Source organism: Homo sapiens, chromosome 2 (genome assembly GCF_000001405.40).
Source record: "Homo sapiens chromosome 2, GRCh38.p14 Primary Assembly".
NCBI lineage: Eukaryota > Metazoa > Chordata > Mammalia > Primates > Hominidae > Homo > Homo sapiens.
Genome location: NC_000002.12, coordinates 34,305,072 through 34,332,726, shown reverse-complemented (window position 1 = coordinate 34,332,726; position 27,655 = coordinate 34,305,072). Strand labels below are relative to the sequence as shown.

The following is a 27,655-nucleotide window of genomic DNA, read 5'->3' as shown; positions in this document are numbered from 1 at the left end:
GCTTGATAGTGAATTCATTGTTAAGAAAGGGCAGGTAACTAGAAGGTAACTGAGTTGAGCTTTTCCATGGTGTAATTCTTCAGTGTCTTAAAAAAATCTTCAGCAACACTTATCTTGAGGGCGCCTTGAATGAGCAACTCTTTCCCAAAGTTCATCCAATTTTTAGGTAGTTTCTTACAGGTTAAAGCAATAGCTAATATTTATTTTATTTTAAAAGGTCATACAGCTAATAAGTGGCTAGATCAAGATTTGAATCCAGGTAATGTGGTCATAGAATCTGTGCATGTATCCACTAACCCATACTATTTCCCAGGCATTAATGAAAAGGAATTCTAGGTTTGGTCTATAGGGACATTTACAGGTGACCATAAGGCCCCACTCCTTAAAGCCTTTGTGTTTCTGTCACCTCTGCCACGCTGCATATCTCCCAGCTTCATATGATGTTCTCACTTTATCACTGGTTCTAGAGTTGCATGTAATGCAAACCAGAAGCCGGGTAAAGGACAGGTTCCTTTGGTCGTCTAACAAAATCATATGTGTAAGGGCCACCGACCAGGCAGACTCAATGTGACTACTCAATATGACCTTCCTCTAGGTTGATCTGAACACTCGCTTCATGCCCCTGAGGTATCACAGCCAGAAAACTACCATCAGCTGACTCATACAAGTGTCTTCCCCACTTAGTACTGATTGAGGCCCATGGTGAGTCCAACACAAATGACCTGGCCTTTTGAGTTTTGTCATGGTACTAATAAAAATCCTTATTATTCATTATTGAAAATTTGACTTGAATAGCATAGTCCAAGAAGCTAATCAGGGCCCTCTTGCAGTCCCAGAAAAGCCATCGGGCATACAGCTGCCTCTCTTCAACAGGTTAGGACCTAACCGGTAAAACCTTGAAAACATTAGTGTTTGCACTGACAAAGGCCAGTGTCCCAGTCTACAAGGGCTTAATGCCATCCTCACTATTTCTTGCTAATGCAGGTTTCACACTTGACTAGAAAACACTACCACCACCACACACACACGTACATGCACGGGCCCACACACACACGTGCATGCACGGGCACACACACACACATGCATGCACGGGCACACACACACACATGCATGCACGAGCACACACACACTTGTGCATGCACGGGCACACAGGCACAGGCCAGTTTACCAGTGAAATGCTAGGCTTAACAACTATCAAAATTCTTTCCCAAGGCTGGGCGCAGTGGCTCACGCCTGTAATCCCAGCACTTTGGGAGGCCGAGGCGGGCAGATCACAAGGTCAGGAGATTGAGACCATCCTGGCTAACACGGTGAAACCTCGTCTCTACTAAAAATGCAAAAAACATTAGCCACGCGCGGTGGCGGGTGCCTGTAGTCCCAGCTTCTCGGGAGCTGAAGCAGGAGAATGGCATGAACCCGGGAGCCGGAGCTTGCAGTGAGCCGAGATCGCGCCACTGCACTCCAGCCTGGGCGACAAAGCGAGACTCCTTTTCAAAAAACAAAACAAACAAAAAAAATGCTTTCCCACAATGTTATAGGATTTACAGAACTTTCAGAAGTTTTAAATTAATTGCCATCACAATTTTATATAATATTGTCAGAATACAGTGTTTGTAAGAATGCGTCCATTGTTTCAAAAAAGAAACAATAAACACAATGCAAATACAGCCTTCAAATAAGTTGCCTAAGCATCTGTCTTCCTGGTATAATTATTTGAAGGGAGGCAAAAGTCATATTTGTTAGTTTCAGTCATCCACACCAGAAAAGTTTACCTACCTCTCTCTACCTGACTGTCAGTTGATACTTCAAGGTCAAGGCCTTGCCATATAATAAAGGCTGATTGATTATAATTGTAGCTATGTTATCTAATAATGAATTACCTCATTAGCAAACAGGGTGAGACAAACCAAAAGCTTCAGAGTTATAAAATTCTGGGTTCAAATTCTGCTTTCGTCACTTTCTTGCTATATGATTCTGGGTAAACCACTTAATCTTTTTGAATCACTTGAAAATAGCGGTAACAGTGCCAACCTTCAGAGTTTTCTGTGAGAATGAAAGTGGTACAGAATGTATGTATTTGTGCATATTTTCGAGATGAACTTAGCAACTTTCCACTTATCTGTAGGCTACTTCAGGCAGACAACACTATTATCCTGTAGTGAACAGAGTTTGAAGAAAAGACTGAAGCTCATAATTTTTTAATATGCATAGTTTCCATTGTCTGTTATGGCTCACAACCTAACAATGTGATGTATTTTGGCTTCAGCTAGGCTTTTTAATTCAAGAAACTCAGAGATTAGTGCAAATCTCCTTCTACCTCTCGTTTCACCGCCCTTGATATCTCAAGGGTAATTTTAGGGTCCAAAAGTTATTTGGTGGCTTGTTTATAATGCTCAAAACCCTATTTTTAAGCTTGAGATCCAACATAAAAATCTTTTTATTCTATTTACATTTCCCGCAAATTTTAGCAATGGTCTCATTTATAAACTAACACACACAATGTTTTAAATTGCATTCGTAAATTTAATATAGTTTCCTGATTAAGTACTTTGGCTAACTTATAAAATAAAATCTACCCTAATACGTATTATAAAACCAGCAGAAAATTAAAACTATAGATATGATGATTCTTAGATTATTTAAATTTACCAACATAACACAGTCTTAGTAAATTACAAGTCTGAAGCAATTACTTAATTACATATTTTAAATTAGAATCATAAGGTTAATATTTTACTTGGAAAAGACAAATTCTGTTAAACATTACTAAATTGTCTTTACATTAATTCTCTTAAACTAACCAAAATGCTAAATGACCTTCTTAACACAAAAATATTTACACTATGTGTGTGGTTTCAATTAAAAATATTTATGCTTAATCCTAAATCTTCCTGTGGTTAATGATGTTAAGGAAATAATTACATCACCCCATGCACCTTCTCAAAGGATTAAAATTATATAAGGACCAGAAATATAGGTCAGGAATATGAGGTCTGGAGCTGCAGATAGCCAGGGTGATTTTTCTCACAATCCCAACTGTCAGGCTGACTTCCATTTTTAAGCACCGTATCTTAGAGTCCTTAAATTAAAGAACACAGGTGGTAGTGTTACCCATTTTTCTACACTTGAGTCACATCCTTACCTCATTCTACCCCTTTTTTTTTTCCACATGCAACCTTCCACCTAGGCTGCTACATCATTTGATTTAATTTTTTGTACCTCTGTCTCAAATTTTATAGATTTCATAACTTCATAGGAACTAGTCAATTCTTTTCAAATCTACTTTGTTCATTAGAAGACTTTTTAGATTTTAAAATGGTAATTCTGCAGACCTCTTGTGGCTTTTCCGTATATAATGCCAAGATCATTATCCTGGTAAGACTAACAGAAAGAAAAGTTTCAGCTGTGGTACAAACACAAAAGTACCTGCAAAATATTATACAGATTCACCAAAGGGAAAGAGATGCACTCAGGAATGCCATGTTGAAACACTCTAGAGGTGTCATTCACACCAGAACCTATAATTGTAGGTGTGCTAAGTACTATTTTGGACAGGCAACAATGACACACTTAAGGTTCCTGCTCTCTGGGGGCTTACATTCAAGCGGGATCAAAAAGCTAAGCAAATAGCAAAACCGGATCATTACAGCTTTTGATAAGTGTCATAAAGGAAATAAAGCAATAAGGCATAATAGAGAGTAACTAGATGGCTACAGAAGGCTAAATTCGAAAGTGGTGTTCATAAAGCTTGTCTAAGGAGGTGACCTTTGAGCTGGAGGATGAGAGAGAGAGCAGCTCTGTAAAAAGCTAAGGAAGGACTTTCAAGGAAAGTATGTAGCCAAAGTGCCAAGACCCAAAATATCAACTGCAGCATTACTGGCATCTTTTAAAGAAGAAAGAAGATCACTATGGCTACAGAGATGAGCAAGGGAAGGTGCAATGTGAGCTGAGGATGAGCAGAGGTTGGGCCCGATCATGTGGGAGGACTGCGAGGCCCTGTTAGAGCCACAGTGAGAAGTTTGAATTGTATTGGAAGGATTTTAAGAAGAGATTGAATCAAAGGACTGAAGTGATTTTATTTACATTTTAAAAACACTACTCTGCATGTGATGTAAAGCCTAAATATTAGAGAAACAAGAGAGTCTGCCTGAGAGATATGGGTGGCTTGGTCTAGAGTTATGTTAGAGAAGAGAGGGAAAATGGACAGTTTGAGATATCCTTTGGGAGCAAAATTTTCAGAATGGTTTGGTCCTGGGAGATGAAGGAAAGTGATGAATCAAGGATGACTCCTGGGTTTGGGATTGAGTAGGTGGGGAGATGTTGGTGCCACTTCCCAAGACAGAGAAGACTGAGGAAGAAACAGGTGTGTGCGGGGAAGAGGAGACGATTTGTGAAGCAGAAGAGAGAGAGGAGGTGACTATGGGAACAAAATTGTAACATGAGAGAAGATGGAGGCCAGAAAAAAAGGAAGGGACAGGGTGAGCTAGCTTTCGATAAATGAACAAATTCTGTTGTGTAATCAAAGAAAAGAAAAAAAAAATGGGCACATGTTAGGGTTTTACATTTTGTGCTAGAAAAATTGAGCCATGTAGGTCCATTATTATTGTTGCAGATAAAAATGGAAAGAAGGAATAGCATGGTTTCTGCATTACTTTTACTACTTTATTAAAATTCTTTCATTTGTTAATTAAGTTATTCATAGAGGAAAAAATGTAGATAAAATTAAACTTAAACCTCCTTTCTACAGTGTTTTCTAGATGTGGGGACATAGACATACCTCAGCACTTACTAGAAATTAGACTGCCCACAATTTTTTCTGGTGATCATAAAGGCCTTATTTTGCCGATCTACTATATTTGGTGATGTATTTACTGTAAGTAACAGAGCACACAATCAGGAGATTAATTTGCTTTGGGGCTAGGAAGTTTACAGTAGAAAGGCAAACACAGTATTTGTGTATAATACGTAATTATTTACTAGTTTGGAGCTATCCATTGGCACATTAGAGAGAAAGTTTGCAAACTAAAAGCAATAAAAATAATAATTGTCTTTCCTAGGAGAAGTCCCAGAAACTGGAACAGGGAATATGAGATGTTTGTTCTGTTATTATTATTTTTGTAAACACAAGGAATTTAGTTGTTATCTGATAGTTTTCTGTTTCCTCTTATCTTTTTTTCTCTTTCATGGATGCAAGATTTTACTATTTTCTGCGACAGATTCCTGTTCCCTAGACAATGATTCCATGTCACAGAAAACACATGTGCACATACACATACACATGCATATAGAAACACACAGAGACAGACACACACACACACACACACTCATGCATGCCAACAGCAGGCAGTCTTCATTCAATCTCTCTTTTCTTTTTGGCCTTAGCTGTCTAGCAATAAACATTTGTCTAACAGCCACAGTGATAAATAATGGTATCTCCAAAAGCACCAACTCAGAAAACTTTCTATTACTATTATTTATTTCCTCTGTAGCAATTGCTCTAACTAAAGCTCAAATAAAAATAGTGAAATGTGATTTTATTTAGGAAAAACTATATATGGCAATGCTATAATTGGATTTCTGGTATTCATGTCCTTCATTCTATATGATGGGGGAAATTTGGTAGATTTCAAATATTAAAAATATTTTGCGCTGAGAATGGTACTACTGGATAAATTAAAATAAAAGAAAATCGTGAAAGGTAAAAACAGCTATAGGAATATGCAGTTCAAAGAAAACATAATGTAGAAGTCGTGCATAATTAATGAAAAGGATTACAAGGGGTCAGAGTTAATAAAGAGAAATTGAATTTAATTATGAGTACTATTAAATACTGTAGGTGGCTTAAATTTGCTCTGTGTAGATTTTGTATCTGAAAGGAAATTAATCAATCAACAAGTCAACCACTGAGAACTCTCTGAATCTGACCACAAAGTTGGAATATAAGACGTTTCCTGTCATCTAAATTTCGTAAGAGAGGCAGTCAAGTAATGTTTAAAATGGACTTTTTTTTACTGTAGAACCAAGACTTTTGAGTTGTGTATTACTCATGAGTGATTTGAAGTATCAGATAATCTGCCCACAGCTAATAAGTGTCAGACATGGTTCCAAATCCAGGAATCTCAGCTCAAGGCTTATGCTCTTTCTATGACAAGCTGCCTGACTCCCTCAACATTTGTAGGAGTTCAGAGAGTAGGAATTAATTTGGCTTTAAGTTCTCAAGAGGGCTTCCTAAAGAAAGAGTGACTTGAGTTGGTTCTTGAGGAATGAATGGGATTTTTAAAAGTAGAACAGAGTTGAGAAGATTGTCTAGATATGCAGGAGGGGAAGACTCCAAGGACAATGCCAATATAGTAGAAGTAAGAATGTGATGGATGGGCACCCAGAAACATGCAGGGCTACTGGCCTGGAACAAGCTGTGTGTGATGTTGAGGAATATTGGGATGCTTTAAGACTGGACTGGATTGGTGTGGGGATCCATTTTTCCAGGGACTTGAATACCAGACAGAGGACAACAGGGCTTATATGGGAGGAAAGAGTCATTGTATGTTTCTTTTGCATAACAAAAGCAGGGTTTTAGAAAGACTATTCTAGGGAAAGAGTCCAGATGGCTTTGAATGGAAAGACAAGAGAGACAGATAAACCAAATGTCAAAAAGCCCACTGGAAAAAACTCCATATCCCTCCAGTATCCCTCGATTTCTCTCCATATCCAGCCAGTTGTTTGCAATTACCTTCATTGAGAAGGTGTGAGGTGAGCAACAGAGAAAAGATGAGTAATGGAGAAAAGGTATAGGCAATGACCTGATGATGGAGAACTTACTGTGTCAGGCCAATAAGGAACCAGTTTCTCAAACTAGACTGAGGCTCCTCAGGGGGTCATGAGTTAATATAATGCATCTTAAAAGCCATACTTAGAAACAAAAGCACATTGAAAAATAAAATTTTATATACATTTTTATTTTTCAACAGTTTGCAAGCTGTATCGATTATTTAATTGCAAATTTATCTATAAGCCTAAATAAATGTATAGTACCATTTATAGCATCATGCAAAATGATAAGTTGTATTAAACACTAATAGCTCAAACTTTACCCTGTGAAGATTTGTTTGTGGAACACTTTTAATTTAAAAAGGATGGGAACTTCTGCTCCAGGTGAAGAAAAATACTGAAGGGTTTTCCACAGTGTAATGTGGTGTGGTTGCATTCTGACAGCTTGTCAAGAATGAATTTTGGTGGGTCAAGAATGAATTTTGGTGGATCAAGACTGGAGAGAGAGCAATTATGGACAAGCTATAAAGATGAGAGCCTGTACTTGAATAATGAGAGCAGAAATAGAAACAGATACATCCAAGCAATATGCATTAGGCTAAATCGGAGGATTGAGATGAAGGTATGAGAGTAAAAAAGTAGGAGGGATCAAAGATGTTTTCAGATTTTTTGCTTGGGTGAATAGACGATGGTGGTATTAGTAATTACTTTAGAGAATGTAGGAGGAAGATGAGGTTTGAAACAAAGTTGATTAGTTTACTTCTGTGTGACATGCTGCCTTTGAGATACCTGTATAGGATGATCATTCACGGTGATTTGCATGAACTGTGCTGATTTATGCCTGTTGTTCTAGCTTAATTATTAATAACACCCTCTCTCCTCTCAAAAGTGTCACGTCAGGAAATGAATTACATGGTCATTCTTAACCTACAAAACTCAACAGGTGGAGAGAGATGTTCTGCAAATGGTAGAGTATGAGTCTAAATCTCAAAATAGAGTTTTGGGCAAGACCCTTGATTTAGGAATAATCAGAATATTTGTAGTTATTTGAAGCTATTAGTGTGCATGGGATTAGCGAGCCAGAGTAGAGTTGTGTCATTATAGAGAAAAATGGAATTCCTGTTGACAGCAACACTTTAATGAGAGGTTGTAAGAGAACTTCAAGTACATGTATTCAGAGAAGTACAGGGAATAAAAAGATAGTGAGTTCAAAATAAGCCAGAGTGTAGTAGGCTGGGAAGTAAAGAAGGGCTGAGGAAAAATGATTTTTCTGGAGGAAGAGACTTAATGGTAAATCATTTTATAAGACCAAGTAAGGTTAAGATTCTATTTTTGTTTGAAGATCAGAGATGAGAATGTTTATAGATTGGAGAGAAGGACTAAAGAGATAGAGAAGAAAAGGGGGAGAGAAAGAAAAAAAAAGAGAAGGAGGTTGAGGAGGAGGAAGAGGAGAAAAGGAAACATAAATATGAAAAAAATGATGCAGAAAAAGAAATTGCTAATAATGCAGATGCCTGGAGAATAATAAAATAAATTAGAGGCAGAAGAGAAAAAATTGAGCTGGCACTGGATGATGGGTACCTCATCTTCTGTGCCTGGGGCTGTCAGTTTGCCCTCAATCTACAATAAACAGAAGGTGATTCTCAAGGCCAGAAGTAAGTCAGGGATTAAAGAGTGGAAAAAGGTTTGTCACTGAAGGATACTTTAGGCAAATACTGAAGACATTCACAAAGGGGCAGCCTGCTGCCGATTTCAGGTAGACATGGATTCGATATCACCAGGATATTTCCCAAGGCCCAGGAAGAAAGAAAGTTCAAACTGTGGACTAAATACTGATCCATGGTTTCATGTGGAAGAAATAGGGGAGGTCAATAAGCTGAATGCATCATACTTTGGGGTCAAAGGGACAAAATCTACCTCCTAAAATCCAAAGTGGGTCCAGGGCCCAGGAACCCCTAAAGCAGGTTCTGATATGGTATTAAAACTGTCAGACATAGACACCCGAGAAGTTTTTGCAACTGGTAAAATTTAGGGTACCTTCCCTGAAGCTTAACACTAATCCTTATCCCCAGGAAGTTACTCAGAGAAATCTAGTAACATGGTAAACGCTTCTGAGTGGAAGTAAAGACAATCAGGTGGGTTTTGGTAGCTGAGTAATAGAAATAGTAGCAAGGCCTGAGGCACAAATGAACGTTTCTGAAGAAACAGAGGAAACCTATGATGTGGAGAGAAGATTCCAGAATGTTGATCCTCGGCTAGGCTTCTAACTCCATTGGTAATATTATACAAGTTGCTTAACTCTCTACACCTTAAAACCTCTCTTGTCTCAAAAATCAGGAAAGGGAAAGTCGTAGAGGCAAGAATTTTTAACCCCTTTTCTGCTTTAAAGTTCTTTGATGAACGTGGGCAAAGGATGACGTAAGAGGAATTAGCAAAAATCCTCTTGTTAAGTGAAGAAAGGAATGATGTCTTTCAAGGAACAAATTAGTAAATTCATTTTGATTTTAATTGTACTACATGAGTCAAGTATTTCCTTGGGGAATGAATGGAGATAGAATTTTAAATCCAAAGGCTCAGTGAGGTAAAGATCTCACTGATAACTCAGATGAATAGGTCAATGGAGGAATGACCCAAACACTGAAGGCCTAGGTTTGATTGGGTTTCAGGGGTCAGTAACTAGTGCAATATGGATAGAAACCAGCAGCAGAAATTGAAGGCAACTAGCATTATGATTAACCTGATGCTACATACAAGACATACAAAGGTAACTTCCCCTTTACAGGTTTCTTGTCCAAGTTGAAATTAAAGCCTGGAATTTGATTTTGTAGATTCTTAATATATATCAATTTCTATAACAAGCTGTGCTATTAGAGTCAAGGAATAAATATAATACTATCCCTATCATCAAAGAGCCCATAGTCTAGACAGTATTGAGTATGAATGAGGTATTGGACATCTGATGAGAGCTTAGTTTCAATAGTCAAGAAACTAGCCTGTTGTCAACAAGACAGGAGACATTTCTTCAAGCCATCAGTCCTCTGTAGGTTAATCAGGTCCCACCCTTTGTTAGTGCTGATGAGACAATGCAACCAATAAGAATATTGAGTTTATAATGAAAAGTTAAACTACCAAATATAAATCAACCTGCCATTTGTGGCCTGAGAATTTTAAAGCCAAGCTCTTTATAGGTCTGCTGAGCTTTCAGTGAAAAAAAAAAAAAAAAAAAAAAGCAATAGTGAATAGTGTCCCTTAAAGATGTAAATAACTGAATCTAGTTTAAATGTAATTGTACCACTCAAGTCAAGTATGTCTTTGAGAATAACTATAAATTTTATATTGAACTCAAGTATCCAATATAGTGAAACACTTGGGAAAAGGACACATTGGGAAAAGGAAACATTGTTAGTGCAGTCATATTTTCTTTTTTTAAATACTTTAAGTTCTGGGGTACATGTGCAGAACATGCAGGTTTGTTACATAGGTATACACGCCCCATGGTGATTTGCTGCACTCATCAACCTGTCATCTACATTAGGTATTTCTCCTAATGCTATCCCTCCCCTACCCCACTGCCCCTCGACAGGCCCTGGTGTGTGATATTCCCCTCCCTGTGTCCATGTGTTCTCATTGTTCAACTCCCACTTACGAGTGAGAACACAGTGCAGTCATATTTTCTAATAGATTCTTGTCAATCCCAGTTTGTAAATGGATGGCATGCGAAAAAAATATATACAACCATATCTATCTACTTGATTCTCTAACAGTAAATGAATTATTTACACTAATTTGGATCCTCCATGCATTCTATATTCTTACAAACATTGACAACTTCATGAAACTGCTATTGCAGACTAACTCTGGTTAGCACCTCAGATATGTTGAGGAAAAAAAGGACGCGCACACATCATTAACCTTCACAACGACCCCATGGATTGTCCTTCTTTTTCAGCAGGACCTTAGATACTGTGAGGTGAGCAGGAAAGAGCTCATTTCACCTCACTGCTGGGCGTGGATCACTCTGACATTCTTAAATTCATTCTCAGTAGGTTTTAATAATGATGCACGAAGCTAGCCTATCTAGAAGGGTATGGAACATTGCCTGCTGCAACAAGGTACTCAATAAATATGGACACATGAATTCAGTTTTGATGTGAGGGTCTGTATTTAAATAATTATATACATGCATATGAGATTAAAACAAATCAGTTTTAAAAAATTTTTAATTTCATGTACTTCTAAAAGATTACTCAAGACTTCCAGAAAACTTGCACATGTGATGTTACTGAAAATCTTTTCACATCTGTGTTTAGTTGTACAACAAAGTCAGTCACAGAAATGACTCCTTAAATGCATACTCTTCAGGCATGTGTTTTGGTTCTGCCCAATATGGATTGTACTTTTTGAAAAGGAAAGGAAGTCCTCTCATTTTTCTTCTAAAGTTTACGATGGTGTGAATCCAGAAAGCTATGCTAAATTAACACATATTTATCCCTAATCCATTTCCATCCAAAGATCAATCTGGAGCCTGCTGTAAACAGGGAGATAGATGAGCACTGGTAAAGCTACAGGAAATCATGCTTTTTACATTTTCCGTATCTCAGCACATTTAGCTTCACCACTATAGATATTTCATAAAGTATAAGTTCCATTAAAAAGATAAACACCCAACTAGGGCAGATCCATGGTCCATCCAACTCAGTAGCTTTTTCTCTGACCGAAGCATCAACATGTCTGCTTTCTCAATAGAAGATGAATATATTCCTTGAATCAATAGTAAAATGTTAGGGTCATATCCGAAATAGTAGGCATCTCATAATAAATTTTATTAGGTATTGCATTTTCCAGTAACTTATCTAAACCCATTATTTTATTTTAAAGTCTATTTTAAAATTCATGGTGCCCCAGCTCATAAATTATTTAGGATTGGGGCATAAATAAACTTCTTTTCAACTTCAAGAAAGTGATTCTAAATATCAGACCATCATCAAAAATCTGATTAACCTTTATACATTTTTTTTTTAATTTTAAGAGCCTTTTTACCCTCACATAATTATACATTCTAACTTTCGTTTTTCTAAAATGGGAAGTTCTAGCCGGGCGCGGTGGCTCACACCTGTAATCCCGGCACTTTGGGAGGCCAAAGCAGGTGGATCACGAGGTCAAGAGATCAAGACCATCCTGGCCAACATGGTAAAACCCCATCTCTACTAAAAATACAAAAAAAATTAGCCAGGTGTGGTGGCGGGTGCCTGTAGTCCCAACTACTTGGGAGGCCGAGACAGGAGAATCACTTGAACCCGGGAGGTGGAGGTTGCAGTGAGCCGAGATTGCGCCACTGCACTCCAGCCTGGCGACAGGGTGAGACTCCGTCTCAAAAAAAAAAAAAAAAGAAAAAAGAAAAAAAATTCATGGTGCCCCAGCTCATAAATTATTTAGGATGGGGCATAAATAAACTTCTTTTCAACTTCAATAAAGTGATTCTAAATCAGACCATCATCAAAAATCTGATTAACCTTTATAAATTTTTTTAAATTTTAAGAGCCTTTTTAACCCTCACATAATTATACATTCTAACTTTTGTTTTTCTAAAATGGGAAGTTCTAATCATTAAATTTTGTCTTTGACAGCAGCTAATTTATACAAATCTTCTACTCCTGTTAATCATTTTCTTTCACATTCTTTGACTACATGCCACTCGAGTTAGTTTGATTCTAGAGTGATGTGAAAAAAAAATGTCTGCATGCATTCCTTAAATATTCCAAGGGAGAGAATATCACAATTTTATATAAGTAAAGGATGACATATTTATTTGCCACATTTGAACAAATGCTTCAGAATCTCATTTTGTGATTCAAAAGAGTCACGTTTTGTGTTTCACTAATCAGCATGAATATGATCCTGGCCTCTTTTTCAGGTCTATAGACTTCATTTTAATGTTACTTTTAGTTTGAAGTCGGGTATTAGGGTTTCCATTCAAATGACAATTCCTTTTAAAGTAAAATCTATTATTTTCTCAATCTTTGTGAAGTAGCTCAACCTATTTTATACATATTTGGTGGTTATTAGAATTATGCCTTATTATTGAGTAAAGCTTGAGTGTGCTGTGCCAGCACTTTTTTCTCCCTGTCTAATTGTAATCATGGCAACATATGAAGAGTTCAGTGGGAAGTATATAAAGTATATATATACATACACACACACACACACACACAGTCTAGTGTTTTAAACACATATATATATGCTTATATAATATGGTTTCACTTTATGCTGAGCCCCTTCATTCTGTCCAGTGTTTTAAACCTATATATATTTGTGTTTTAAACACAAATTATTACACTAGGTCTTCTCCTTTTTATAATTAGTTGTGTTTACTAATTACAAAGAAGAGAAGACCTAGCAGATGTACCTTTAGTTTTTAAAAATCAATGTTGTTATTGAAATACACAGAACTTTGAAGGAGCTTTGAAAACATGGAGAAATATGCACATTATAAGAGAGATGCTAGTTTCTCCATTTTCCATGAGAAATGAAAATAGTAAATATTATCACAGAGTAGTTATGACCAAAAAGAAATCAAAAGGGTGAACAGGATTAATTAATAATTTTTCTGATGATCTACAAATCTTCAGCATTAAATTTTAAAGTAATATGGCTCTTGGTTTTACTTTATACTGAGTTGTATCTCAAGCTGCCAAGGTCACTCCCACCCTTCCTCTCACACACATGGCACATGGAGTTCAAGAAATAACATTTTCCTAAAAAGAGAACTGTTCTCTGTGTTCTGGAGACAGATAAGAAGGGTGGGTTGGCCGGGTGCGGTGGCTCACACCTGTAATCCCAGCATTTTGGGAGGCCGAGGCGGGTGGATCACGAGGTCAGGAGTTCGACACCATCCTGGCTAACACGGTGAAACCCCATCTCTACTAAAAATATAAAAAATTAGCCAGGCATGGTGGCAGGCGCCTGTAGTCCCAGCTACTCAGGAGGCTGAGGCAAGAGAATGGCATGAACCCAGAAGGTGGAGCTTGCAGTGAGCTGAGATCGCACCACTGCACTCCAGGCTGGGAGACAGAGCGAGACCCCATCTCGAAAAAAAAAAAAAAAAAAAAGAAGGGCGGGTTAACCCTCCTATTTCACATACCCTACTAGTCTTGAAAAAGGAAGTTTGCCACGTGACCTCTGCTGTGCCACTGAGGAATTGGAGGAAAGGAGCAGATACAGGTAACAAAAACTCTGTGAATCTATGTGAACCTTCATAGATGTTCCATCGTGAGAGATAACAGTCTAAGCCAGTGATAGGTTGCAGGAGAGATGGAAGGCTGGAAGAATGTAGTGGGAAGAATTCAAAGGGGATTGGAGGCTTCTGTAGGGCACTAGACGTTTGGACCCTCGTTTGGCAGACTGAAAGACTCCATGGAAGAACAGGATGGAAAAGGGAAAATATGGATTTTAGAGAAAAAATTTAACTTCACAAGATAGAGTAATTTATCTGTAACAAATACACTAATATACACCTATAGATCAATAAGCTATAGTCCATCTAATGATTAAATCTCAACTCATTAGCTAATGTCTTCTTGTATCAGGCACTGTTCCAGGTTCTGGAAATACAGAAAGAAAAATTTTAAAAAAACCACTCTGATCTTGTAGGGTCTTCCATATCAGGATGATAAATTGTCTAGATGGACACACCGCACACCTAAAGACCCATTTAATGTCACTGTAGAGCAAATGTAGGTATTTAGAGTTGACCACAAAACAGAGACAAAGGCACCTGGGAGCCATGCAGCCTTGGAGAACAGGCCTCTCATGAAGCAGAAAGGAAAAGGAAGTCAATTCGATTAGTTGCTGCTTAAAGGGTGTATTTATCTTGCTGAGTTCTAGTCGCAGATAACTTAACATTTGCATTCCTGAAGTCCATTTCCAAGTGTCTTTGAAGAGCACTGAAATGTTCTTGGAAGCTGGCCAGAGCCACTTTGGCTTTTCTATCTGTACTTGTGTGAAAAGATCTGTACATGAACCATAGTACCTATGACAACTAAGATACTATAATATCTAATTGCATCATTTTGTAAAAGACAGAGTAGAGTACCACTTTTGAGTAGAGCTACTCTAGAGATAGGTTTAAGGTCAGCCTGCGAATGTCTCCCACTTGATGTCAAATATGCCTTGAATTTACAAACACAATTTGGCTTATATATTATTATTTACTAAGCTATTTTCTAAAATGATTCTTTTCCATGTGAATTAGTCTATTCTAGGCAATGAGTAAATGTAATAAATTGAAAATAATACCAGTGAAATCGAATCAGAAGTCTTTGGATAAAGAAAACTACTCAATATAACAATTATAACTGCTCCTATTTCTTATTTCAGTAAGAAACAGAGACATATGAATCAAAAAATATTTGCATCCTAATAGTTATTACCATTTTCATGCCAATTTATAGCTTGGTAAGATTTCCTATTTCTCACTCTTCATCTTACTGGTTCCAGAAAGAAACAGAAATTGCACATAGTGTCCAGACAATGCAGACAGAATTATAGGTCTTCACTTACACTGGTGTCTATGATAAAATGTGCAAGAATTAAAGAGGTTAGATGAAGATTCATCAAATTGGAAAACACTACCGGGTCAACATTAGCCCGTGTTTCACTAGCCAAGACCTGTTTTATCAAAGAAAAATTAAAAGCAGAAGTGCCACAATAGCTTGTGTTGTTATATTTGTTAATATTGATGAGATGTAATGAGACGTAAAAACTACCAAAGTTCCTCTATAGTTGGAAATGCAGAGAGTAGTTGCTGGTAGTTGCTGATAAAATTATTATCCATCCAACATTATTTTAGTGAGAATCTGTTTTTCCACTCTCAAAATAATGTTTTCCCAATATCCTTTTAATTGCAGTTTCCAATTCATCAGTAAGGAATTTCAAATACAATACACTTTGAAACAAGGCTATAAACAGACCGATGACTCAATCAAATGAAAGAAGAGATATTTAAATTAGATTTCATAAGGTAGTGATGTGGCTAATGCATGTTTTTATTTTTAATTTTCTAGTTCTCAGAGGAAATGATGCTTGAATCAGAATTGAAAGGTAGAAACTTTTCTAGTTCACTGATTTACAAGCATTTTTAAAATCTGTATAAGCCTATATTCAAAAGCAATTGAAAAAGATATTCAGGAAAATAAAGTTGTTCTAGCTGTGTAATCTTCCTTACTCTATCTTTACATTCTCCCTATCCCTCAGACCCCATCTCTAATTTTACTAGATCATTTTCACATTCCAACTTATAGACAGTTCCCCAAGTATAGCACTTGACCTTTTTTGTTCTTTTTTTTTAACTCAATCTCTCATAATAATTTATTCCTTCTTACCCGCCCACTACTTAAATCCCAAGCACATTCTCTGGCTTCAGAACCTCAGAAATATCTACAAACCTTCCCACTACTTTATTGTTTCTGTTTCTAATTCTTCTACCCATAGACAATATTGACTGGAAGTTTCTTAGAGTAGAATTTGAACTACAAGAGAAATAGAAATAACAGTGTAATTATTCCAGAATTTTGTCAAGAAAAAGAGAAATCAAGCATTTTCTAGAAAGGGAGAGGAAGAGTTGAATTTACATAAGGCCATCTCTGTAAAATAAAATATTAATGTCCATAATATTATGCAATTCCCAGTGTACATTGGTGTGTTCTTGTGGTTTTGTTTTGACTGCTCCCCTGTTTTACATTTCAAATAATAGGAACTAAGTAGGATTTTGCCTATCTGCAGTCTCACATATAGCTAGACTCTGTTTACACAACTGGAATACTAGCCCTCAAACATTCTTCATTATGATCCTCATGTAGACAAAGCATTTTTTAAAGTTCAGGTCAAGTATGCCCTCACGCTTTATTATCATGTGGAAGGTGAACTACTAGTTTTACAGATAGTTACACATAGCTTTTCTTCATTTCTAGAGAGGCATACTATATTCCAAATGTAAAGTCCAAGAGAAAGCTTCCCTTTCACCTTCTAAAGGTTCACTGAAAATGAACTTACAATAGGTAGATGAATAGGAGAAAAAGACATACAGAGTTATTTAATGTGTATAAGCACAAGAGAATCACAAGAATGACCAAAGGGGTCCAGATCCTTTACACTCTTTTCTTCACAGAATTTAAAATTGCAATTTAAAATTTCAAATGGCAGTAAGTGATTCTTAGGAGAATAAATTGGGCCAATGTTCAGACAGTTGTTAGTAAATAATTCTCTTTGGAAATTGAATGGGACCAGATAATAGACCGTGGTTTAGGTTAAAGTTTCTCTGGGCGCTAAGTATGGTGTTTAATTTTCAGTCTTTTCCTCTGTGATATTAAATGCTATTAATCTGGAAAGATTAATCGCATTTCAGGGAGGGGATCAAAGGCAATTGTGTTCCTCTTTGGCAGGTCTGGTTTCTAGGTAGATAAGAGAACTTTAGGGAACAGCCTCATCCTGTGCTTTGGTCGAAACAGAGGATTGAGAAACAGGAGGGAGGGGAAAGATCAGAGACACCTTGAGGGTGATTCTTTAGTTCATCATATCAAAGCATCATATTTTAGGTTATCATCTTCTGAGCTTCAATACCTGCAACTAGTTTCGCTCATTTCTGTGTAGTTGTTCTTCATCAATAGAAATAGGAATAATTCTCTAATGTATATGGGTTTTTATAGTTAAAAGCGCTGCTATCACATCAGTTATTTTACTTGATTTATCAACCAACTTGCCAAAGTCAGGTCAGGTATTATTGCCCCTGTTTGTTAGATAAGGAAACTGACAGCCACTTAATAGGTGATAGAAATAGGTCTAAAAGTTATGTCTATTACTCCTAACTCTGGTCTCAACAACCATAATCTATGGTGTCAGTGTCCCATAGAACACAGTAATGAAGGAGATCGTATGTGAGAGACAGAAAAAAACCATAAGCATCCTTGAGATATCCTAAAACATACAAATATAAAATAAACATAAGTGACAGTTCTATGAGCCTTCAGCCTAAGGATCTTACAGCAAACACCTGTGAAACTCGACCCTTTAACACCTGGCTCCTCTTGAACACCAGAGGCACATGGCTAACTATTTTTTCATTTTAACTGATCTCTGGGTTATTGGCATTGATGCCAGTTTTCAAGAAGAAAAAATACAAGGAATAGGTTTGCAGAAACCCTGACACCACCTTTACACCTGTAGGTTTTTTTCATGTTCAGCTTTCCTGATTAAAATAGAAGTGTTAAAATTGCATATTCAATGTTACTAAATAAATGTGGTAATTCTAAGCCTGCACACACTTTGATTTTTAAAAGGAAAAATCATCAGATCACCTGAGGTCAGGAATTTGAGACCAGCTCTGCTCAACATGGCGAAACCCCATTTCTACTAAAAATACAAAGAATTAGCCAGGCGTGTTGGCAGGCGCTTATAATCCCAGCTATTCGGGAGGCTGAAGCAGGAGAATCGCTTGAACCCAGGAGGCAGAGGTTGCAGTGAGCCAAGATGATGCCACTGCACTCCAGTATGGGCAACAAAAGTGAAACTCTGTCTCAAAAAAAAAAAAAAAAAAAAAAAAGGAAAAATCAGGAGAGATTTTTCAGGAGAGACAAGTGACTTTTGCAATAGAGGGATGTCATGATACATAATATTTGCATTAATTTTAGAAAAGATTAGTAATAAGTCTCTAATTTATCCAGATCAACACTGGTACATACATATACAAAGGCAAAGAAATTTCATCCACTGGCAGACAGAAAAGGGAGTCAAAAAGTTAGAAAGGGTATAAGAAACATTTTACAGTTTATACACGTTTCACTCTATTAATTATTTTTCAAAAAAGCTCTGGATACAAAAATCCCTGGGAGATAAAAAGTTTGGTTGGAGACCAACCATAAATCACATTTTCCACTATGTAACTATAATTTTCCAGGTAAAATCCTAATAAAACAAATGTCAAGAGGAAAAGCAGTTATAAAATGAAATGATATGCCTGTATTGTGATATAATGAATGTAGAATGTTTCTTTTTTTTATAAACTTCTCATTTATAATCGTTTTAAGTTTTCAGAAAAGATTAAAAATATAGTACGGAGTTCCACATATCCCAGTTTCTCCTATTATTAATATCTTATGTTAGAAGTTGCTAATCAGTCACAATTAATGAACCAATTTCCGCACACTATTATTAACTCAAGTCCATGCTTCATGGAGATTTCTTTTCCTAGGAGTTTTTATCTAATGTCTTTCTTCAGTCATATACTTTGTAGAGTGACCCTTAATCTGATGTTTTTCTCATAATTAGACTATGACTTGAGGTTCTGGGGAAGAAGATCACAGGAGTAAAGTGTAATTCTAATCACATTATATCAAGGGTATATACCAGCTACATGACTTACCACTGTTGATATTAACCTTGTTTACTTGGCTGTAGCAGTATTTATCAAGTTTCTCCACTGTCAAATGACTCTTTTCCCCCAATCCATACTGTAATCTTTGCAAGGAAGTCATCATTGTGTACAGCCCCCTCTTTTTTTTTTTTTTTTTTTTTTTTTTTTTTTGGGACGGAGTCTCATTCTGTCGCCAGGCTGCAGTGCAGTGGCGCGATTTCGGCTCACTGCACACCTCCACCTCCTGGGTTCAAACGACTCTCCTGCCTCAGCCTCCAGAGTACCTGGGACTACAGGCAAGCACCAACACGCCCAGCTAATTTTTTTGTACTTTTAGTAGAGATGGAGTTTCACCATGTTGGCCAGGATGGTCTCGATCTTTTGACCTCGTGATCCACCCGCCTCTGCCTCCCAAAGTGCTGGGATTACAGGTGTGAGCCACCACACCTGGCCCCAGCCCCCTCTTAAGGAGTGGGGAATTATGCTCCACTTCCTTGAGCGGGGAGTGTCTGTACAGCTCACCTGGAATTTTTCTGTGGGGGAAATTTGTCTATTCTCCCACAAGTATTTATTTACGCAATCATTTATTTGTACAAATATAGTCTCAAAGATATTTATCTCCCGCTTAGAGTGATAAGCCAGTATTACTTTATTTCTTTTAGTGCTAAAATTGTTCAGGCTTTGGGAAGCTCAATTACTTCCTATGTCCCTTGTATCCCTTTGACAGGCCTTTAACAATGTGGGGCTTTTTGTTAGGGGATCGCTCCTGCTTTCTGCCACTGCAAGATGCTCCAGGATCATCTTGTATATTTCTTCTGCCAGTCATAGATTCAGCCATTTTTCAAAGCAGTAGAATGGATTTTAAGACAGAAATACGTGAATTCAAATCCTGGCTTCACACTTACTTGACTATGACCTTGGGTAAATTATTTAGCATTTCTAAGATTCCATTTCCTTACTTGTGAAATGAGAACACTACTCACTTCCAAGGGTTATTATTCGTCTAAATTAGAAAATAAATGTAAAATCCTGGTTCCTAACACTGCATTTTAAAAAATTAATTCTCTTCCGTTCCTTCTTCTTTATCACCAGTCAGCAGAGCAACCTAATTCTTCTTTGCTAGTAACCTCCCTGAATCACTACCTATCTACCTTCTACCAACTGAGGAAGCTTCCAATACCCCTTACTTGGAAAAGTCACTTCAGTTACTATTTACAATCTAGAAATGCCTCGTTTTGTGACTAAACTCACACTTAAACACACACATATATACACACACATATATACACACACACACAATGCACACACACTCATGTTGTGTCACTTCACATATGTGTGAGATATTTCTAAGCTAACATGTCCTTAGTATGAAAAACATTTTACGTGAAATGTATAATAGCAGTAATTTTGAGATGCTAGTATCTCAGATGGTTAATTTAGAGAAAAAAGAAAAATATTTATCAAAATGGGTAGTTACCATAACAACTGCATGCAAGTTTTTTTCCAATCATTTCATTATTATTTTAACATTTCAGTTTCCATGACAACCAAATGCAGTTAGCATTATCTCTAAATATACTCCACAGGTATTTTTTTTCTTCAATGAATCAAGACCTTTCATTATATACTAAAGAGATCAAGGCTATCTCCATGAAATTAATGTAAAATCTATCAAAGACAACCCTCTTTCATAAAAAAATGAGCAAATTCAAATACAGTAACATTGTGGATATTGTTCATATTTTTCTTTTAATCATGTTTATCAAGGAGTTCTAAGAAAATATATCAGAAATGACCAGAGGAAATTTGTCTACATTTCTAGCACAGATTATGAGCTAAAAAAACAAATGTTTAGCTCAGAGAGTCAGACCTCATCCTGTGTTGCTATTAGCTTGTATTTTTATAGCATATCTTACATTTTAGTCACTTAGTGACATGAAGTACACAACTCTGGTCCCAGTGTAGTTCAGTTATCTGCAAAGGCTTTTGTATAAGTGAACCTATTTCTGTTGAAGCTGAATTTGTAACTTCATTTTTTCCCACGAACAGTACGATTCCTACTGTTCTTTCTCTTTTATTGCTTCTTCCCTCTTTCTTTTTCTATTCTCCTTTCATTACCTCTTTCCTTTCCTCCATCTTCTCCTTTCCTATCTTGACCTACCAACCCCTATGTCTTATGGTAATTAGTGGTAATAGTAACAGTAGTAAGGCAGGTCAGGGATGAGATGTTCAATAAACACCTTTTTGGGGTCAAAATGTTCCTTGGGAAAAAAATCCCAACCAAAATTTTTTGGGCATTTAAATACAAGTGCTTTAGGGGAAGAAAACTCTAAAGTGGTGCCTCAGTGTCTAACCCCTTTCTTCCTTCATTTAGAGAATTATTTAACATTAAGTGTCATCGTGAGAAGGAGACTGTGGAATGTACTAATGAGTATACAAAAAGCATATGGCTCTAATTCAGCAATTGTAAAATATACATAATTATTATTCTGTATACATTTTTGTTCAGGTATGTCCTCAGTAGATATACCAGAAAGGTCAATATAAAAATGGACCTAAATTATATATTTTTAAATATTCTGTAGTTGTTAATTTGCCTGGGGCCAACTTAATGCTAATCAACATACTAATACCACATGATACTATCATTTTCTGAGCCTTTTTATAACCCAAGATTTGTAATATCAAGGTTAATATAGCTGGGCATGGTGGCTCATATCTGTAATCCCAGCACTTTGGGAGGCCGAGGCAGGTGGATCGCCTGGGTCAGGAGTTCAAGACTAGCCTGACAAACATAGTGAAACCCTGTCTCTACTACAAAATACAAAAAAATTATCTGGGTGTGGTGGCGGACGCCTGTAATCCCAGCTACTAGGGAGGCTGACGTAGGAGAATCACCCAAACCTGGGAGGCGGAGGTTGCAGTGAGCCGAGATTGCGCCATTGAACTCCAGCCTGGGCAACAAGAGAGAAATTCCATCTCAAAAAAAAAAAAATGGTTAATGTTAGGAGCCAAACAAACATGGCCCAATTCTACAGCTCAATTATTTTTTTACTGTTGTCAGCTTTACCTTTTTACCAAGGTCCTCAATTAGTAATTCATATTTCACTTTGAGCGTTCCTCAGAAAAATATTTTCTATGGGATAGGTCTTATCCATTTACCTTGCTTTTACTTTTAATTTAAGAACATGGGTGGAAAATATTTAATTATGATAGAAAATACATAAACTTAGGAAACTGCAGAAAATGTATCAAACTTCAAAGTTTATATATTATAGCAAAGATATTTTTGCAGCTGCATAAAACAAAAACTCAAAACAGCAGTGATTTAAATAAGACAGAAGAATTTTATACCATCATATAATAGTATATTATTAAGGCTGTACTACATGTGGTCAATTTTTTTTTTAATTATTATACTTTAAGTTTTAGGGTACATGTGCACAATGTGCAGGTTAGTTACATATGTATACATGTGCCATGCTGGTGTGCTGCACCCATTAACTCGTCATTTAGCATTAGGCTATCCCTCTCCCCTCCCCCCACTCCACAACAGTCCCCAGAGTGTGATGTTCCCCTTCTTGTGTCCATGTGTTCTCATTGTTCAATTCCCACCTATGAGTGAGAACATGCAGTGTTTGGTTTTTTGTCCTTATGACAGTTTACTGAGAATGATGATTTCCAATCTCATCCATGTCCCTACAAAGGACATGAACTCATCATTTTTTATGGCTGCATAGTATTCCATGGTGTATATGTGTCACATTTTCTTAATCCAGTCTATCATTGTTGGACATTTGGATTGGTTCCAAGTCTTTACTATTGTGAATAGTGCCGCAATAAACATATGTGTGCATGTGTCTTTATAGCAGCATGATTTATAGTCCTTTGGGTATATACCCAGTAATGGGATGGCTGGGTCAAATGGTATTTCTAGTTCTAGATCCCTGAGGAATCGCCACACTGACTTCCACAATGGTTGAACTAGTTTATAGTCCCACCAACAGTGTAAAAGTGTTCCTATTTCTCCACATCCTCTCCAGCACCTGTTGTTTCCTGACTCTTTAATGATTGCCATTCTAACTGGTGTGAGATGGTATCTCATTGTGGTTTTGATTTGCATTTCTCTGATGGCCAGTGATAGTACTGGTACCAAAACAGAGATATAGATCAATGGAACAGAACAGAGCCCCCAGAAATAATGCCGCATATCTACAACTATCTGATCTTTGACAAACCTGAGAAAAAAAAAGCAATGGGGAAAGGATTCCCTATTTAATAAATGGTGCTGGGAAAACTGGCTAGCCATATGTAGAAAGCTGAAACTGGATCCCTTCCTTACACCTTATACAAAAATTAATTCAAGATGGATTAAAGACTTAAATGTTAGACCTAAAACCATAAAAACCCTAGAAGAAAACCTAGGCATTACCATTCAGGACATAGGCATGGGCAAGGACTTCCTCTCTAAAACACCAAAAGCAATGGCAACAAAAGGCAAAATTGACAAATGGGATCTAATTAAACTAAAGAGCTTCTGCACAGCAAAAGAAACTACCATCAGAGTGAACAGGCAACCTACAAAATGGGAGAAAATTTTCGCAACCTACTCATCTGACAAAGGGCTAATATCCAGAATCTACAATGAACTCAAACAAATTTACAAGAAAAAAACAAACAACCACATCAAAAAGTGGGCAAAGGACATGAACAGACACTTCTCAAAAGAAGACATTTATGCAGCCAAAAACACATGAAAAAATACATGTGGTCAATTAAGGCTCCTGTTGCTTTGCCTTTCCTGGGATGTCATTGTTGTCCAATGTTTCAGAACGTCTTGCCACCATGTTTGCATTCCAAGCAACATGATGGAGGCAGGGTGGGAGAAAGGTAGGCCCCTCCTGTTTAGAACATGAGTTAGAAGTTCTACACTTCACTTCTGCTAAGAACCTATTGTACAGAACTTAGTATCATAACCACACCTCCTAACAAGGGCAGGGGTACTAGTAAATGGGTCTAGTTTGTCATATGACAGCTAAAAATAAATGATTTTATTCTTACAAGGGTATTGAGAGACAACTGCCTATCTCTGTCAATCTCCCCTTCTCACTAGAAAGTTGTTTGTGCGTATGACTAATTTCACTAAATCCAAAGGTGATATAGAGGAAACTGAGATAGAAGTGTGGCTTGAAATTTTCTACTGCTTTGAAAGATGAAGCCTGAGTCACTCACTGCTGAGACATTTACTCCTACAGGGTGCCCTTATCATCAACTGCTCAGGAATCATTAATCTGCTCCTCACTTACCTTGCGTGTCCCCCAAAAAAACACCATTTTGCTCCACCAAAGCTGTCATTTTTAAACTTTTCCTGCTCACTGTTTTAGGGAGCAGCATTTTCCAATTCTTTACAGCTTTCACAGAAGGGAGGTATTTATTTCCTTTTCCAAAGGCATTAACTGTGGTTACCATGGTCTGCTTGTTTCCTTACGGGACTTTTTTCATTTAAATATTTTCTTTCCTCCGATCTTCTTTCTCTTTCCTTCTCCTCCTTTTCCCCATCTTTCACTCTTACACCCTCTCTCTCTCTCGCTCACACACACACACACACACACACCCCTCTAGTTGTTAATGAGGGTAGTTACAATTTTCACTTTTACATTGTTAAATGACTCTAGATGGCCGGGGGAGGGGTCGGCAGAAAGAATCATTAGCCATTTGTAATTCAACAAACTTGGCATGAGTCCTGGAGTTGCCCACAAATGAAATATTGAGTAATGAGAATTTAATTTTCTCCATTCCTATTCTCTTTTGTACATTCTTAGCAACCCTAAACATTATTTCAGCCCATTTGCTGTCAGGTGAGAAGGTATGACAGTGATAGCTTAAAAGATGTCCATATTTATAAATTCCTTAAACTTAAATAAATATGAACTTATAAATTAGAAAAATTGGTCAGGAATAACATACCAGAGAAACAGATCAAGGCTTAACCACAGCTGCAGTTTTGCCCACCAAAGTATGGAGGAAGAACTCCAAATACTGAGCCTTTAGAAGGAGCCTATCACAATCAAGAAGCTTTGATTTAGTACTTGAAATGATAGTGAAAGGTCCTTATGTTGGCAGTATCTGCTGGGAAAGTTGCTATCTTCCACATATTTTTCCAGAGAAACCAGGCAGGAACTACAGAAATATAGATTACTTTCAATATCAAAGTCACTTTTAGGCTTCTATAACATAGCTTCCAGAAAGTGATTTTATTTCAACAATATCTACTTGGAATATTTTTAGTGTGTCCAAGAAAACGTGGTATCAACTTCTGAAAGAAAAATGTAATTTTTTCATAAGACATAGGATTTATAAATATATCACTCACATTTTAAAACAACAAAGTGCTTAAATAATTCTCCAAATTTACTACAAACAGTCTAAGGCACAGGCCAATATGATAACACATATAAGGTTGAAGGTTGGATTTTCTAGAGGCAGAAGTGGAGTCAAGGATTAAAGTCCCCATGACTTCAGGTGGAAGTACAATTGAAACAGCTTTCAAAGGAATGAGGCAAACAAGAGCAAGCATGTAATCTCAGGTAGTCTAGTTTTGACCTGATCCATGGACTCTGGACTCTGGACTCTAACAGTTCTTACTCTAGAAGTCATGAAACTAGAGTGTGGGTTTTACCAATGCCAAGTATATTTCTTATATATTGGGCAACCAGGGAATTGTTGGATGGATCCACATCCTCAGTGGTCTTACAGTAAGACAAGCATGGGCAATAAGTATACTAGCTGACTCATCTATGCCTGCTTTATCAGGGGAGCCTCGATGAGGGTGCTCTGGGTCCCTCAGTATCAGAGTCAACTTAGACTCTATCCAATAACCCTTGAACTGGCCAATTAGTCCTTTTTTCTCTATGTATGGTTTTCAAAGTAAATAGTGGTAGGTCTTTTAGGGAAGGATAAGGTGAATCTTTACTGTATATGCTTGCCTTGTTATTCTGTGGTCCTTCTTCATGGGTCTTGGCCAGTCCTTCAGTTAATAGTTTCTGGATCTAAGGTCAGTTTTCAAAAACTAGTCAAGGCATAGTGACTTTCACAGGGCGCTGACCTAGCCTTCTGTCCTTCTGTTGACCCAAGTTTGAACACTTTTGATTATAAGAATTAAGCAATATCCTCATTGACTACCCAATCCATTTTTTTTCTCTAGATCCACTATGCTTTATTATCCATATCTACATATCCTTGTGGCTGCTACTCCAGCCTTCCTGACCATAATGGTAAGTATGTCCACCATGTTTTAGGTATTTTAGAGTTGCTAAATGGCCTCTGTTATTAAATTAAATGGCCAGCATCTAGTACCATCAACCCTGGCCTACATAGATAGGCACGACCCAGCTTTTTATTGACATCAGCACCTCTCACCGGTGTTATGTGTTGCTTTAGTAAATGGGGCGTCCCCTGGGGCCCTTCTCAGGTATACAGTGAGCTGCTAGGTCTCCCAGTCTTATGTAGATGATATCATGCATGCTTCTCTGAGCCTTTTGATTTCATCCGCCACCATATGCCATGACAGCTCTGAAATCCCTTTTGGAAGCTGCTGTTGAGTCTCACTGCAACAAATTAAAACTAGCCCCGAGGCAACTTTTCAGGTGTTAAGTTCTATGACACAGAAGAGCTTTCCCATATTGACAAACTCTTCCTCACTAGCTTTATTTTTGGCCTCCTTGACCCAGTACCCTCAAGTGTGACATCTGCAAGTGCAATTGTTATTGGTGACTAAGTTACATTTTTACTCAATCAGCACTAAGGATCTTAGGTATGAGGACTATGCTAAACGTAACTATAATAGCTTATAAAATCGTAGCAGATAAAATCAGTGTTGCTGTGAGGTTTTCTTTGTGAGTGTTCTCAAAAGCCTATTCAGAGTTCATTTGGATTAAAAATTAATCTCAGTTTTTTATGGTTACAAATTCAAAACCCTATTTTTAAATCTTTTAACTTTAGCATACAAGTCTTATTTTTCTATTTACAACTTAGCAAATTTAAATAATTGCTTTTAAGGGAACTTTGAATAATGTTTGGCTCATTTTATACATTTTATTAAATACTCTCAAATATTTTAACCATATTTATAAACTTAATCATGGAAATTCCCATTTTGAATGACTGTAATTGACCTAGAAAACAAAACTTTTCAGATTATAGTACTAAATGATTCTCATAAAATAAATAAACTTTGTAAGTACTGTGAATATAGTTATCTTAGATATTCCAAAACTGTGCAAAAACCTAGTAAGATATTAACTTATTATAAACTTACATCAATTACTCAATTTTACGTATTAAATTGGACTTATAAGGTTATCACATTAATACATCAAGTTCTATTAAAATGTAGAAGCACATGAAGTGGCAAATATCTATTAGACATCTTTTTAAAATTAACATAGTAATGCTAATGTTTTTATTTTCTTAATTGTTTTG

At 37.0% G+C, this 27,655-nt stretch overlaps 1 long non-coding RNA gene across 1 annotated transcript in view; it reads left to right on the top strand.

The window, feature by feature from the left end:
- Window positions 1-26,439, top strand: part of LOC105374457 (uncharacterized) — a 37,371-nt gene extending 10,932 nt beyond the window's left edge. The window contains exon 5 of the long non-coding RNA XR_939952.1: window positions 26,379-26,439. This is a non-coding gene — a long non-coding RNA (uncharacterized LOC105374457). The remainder of the gene's footprint in view (window positions 1-26,378) is intronic.
- The last annotated feature ends 1,216 nt before the right edge of the window (window positions 26,440-27,655 follow it).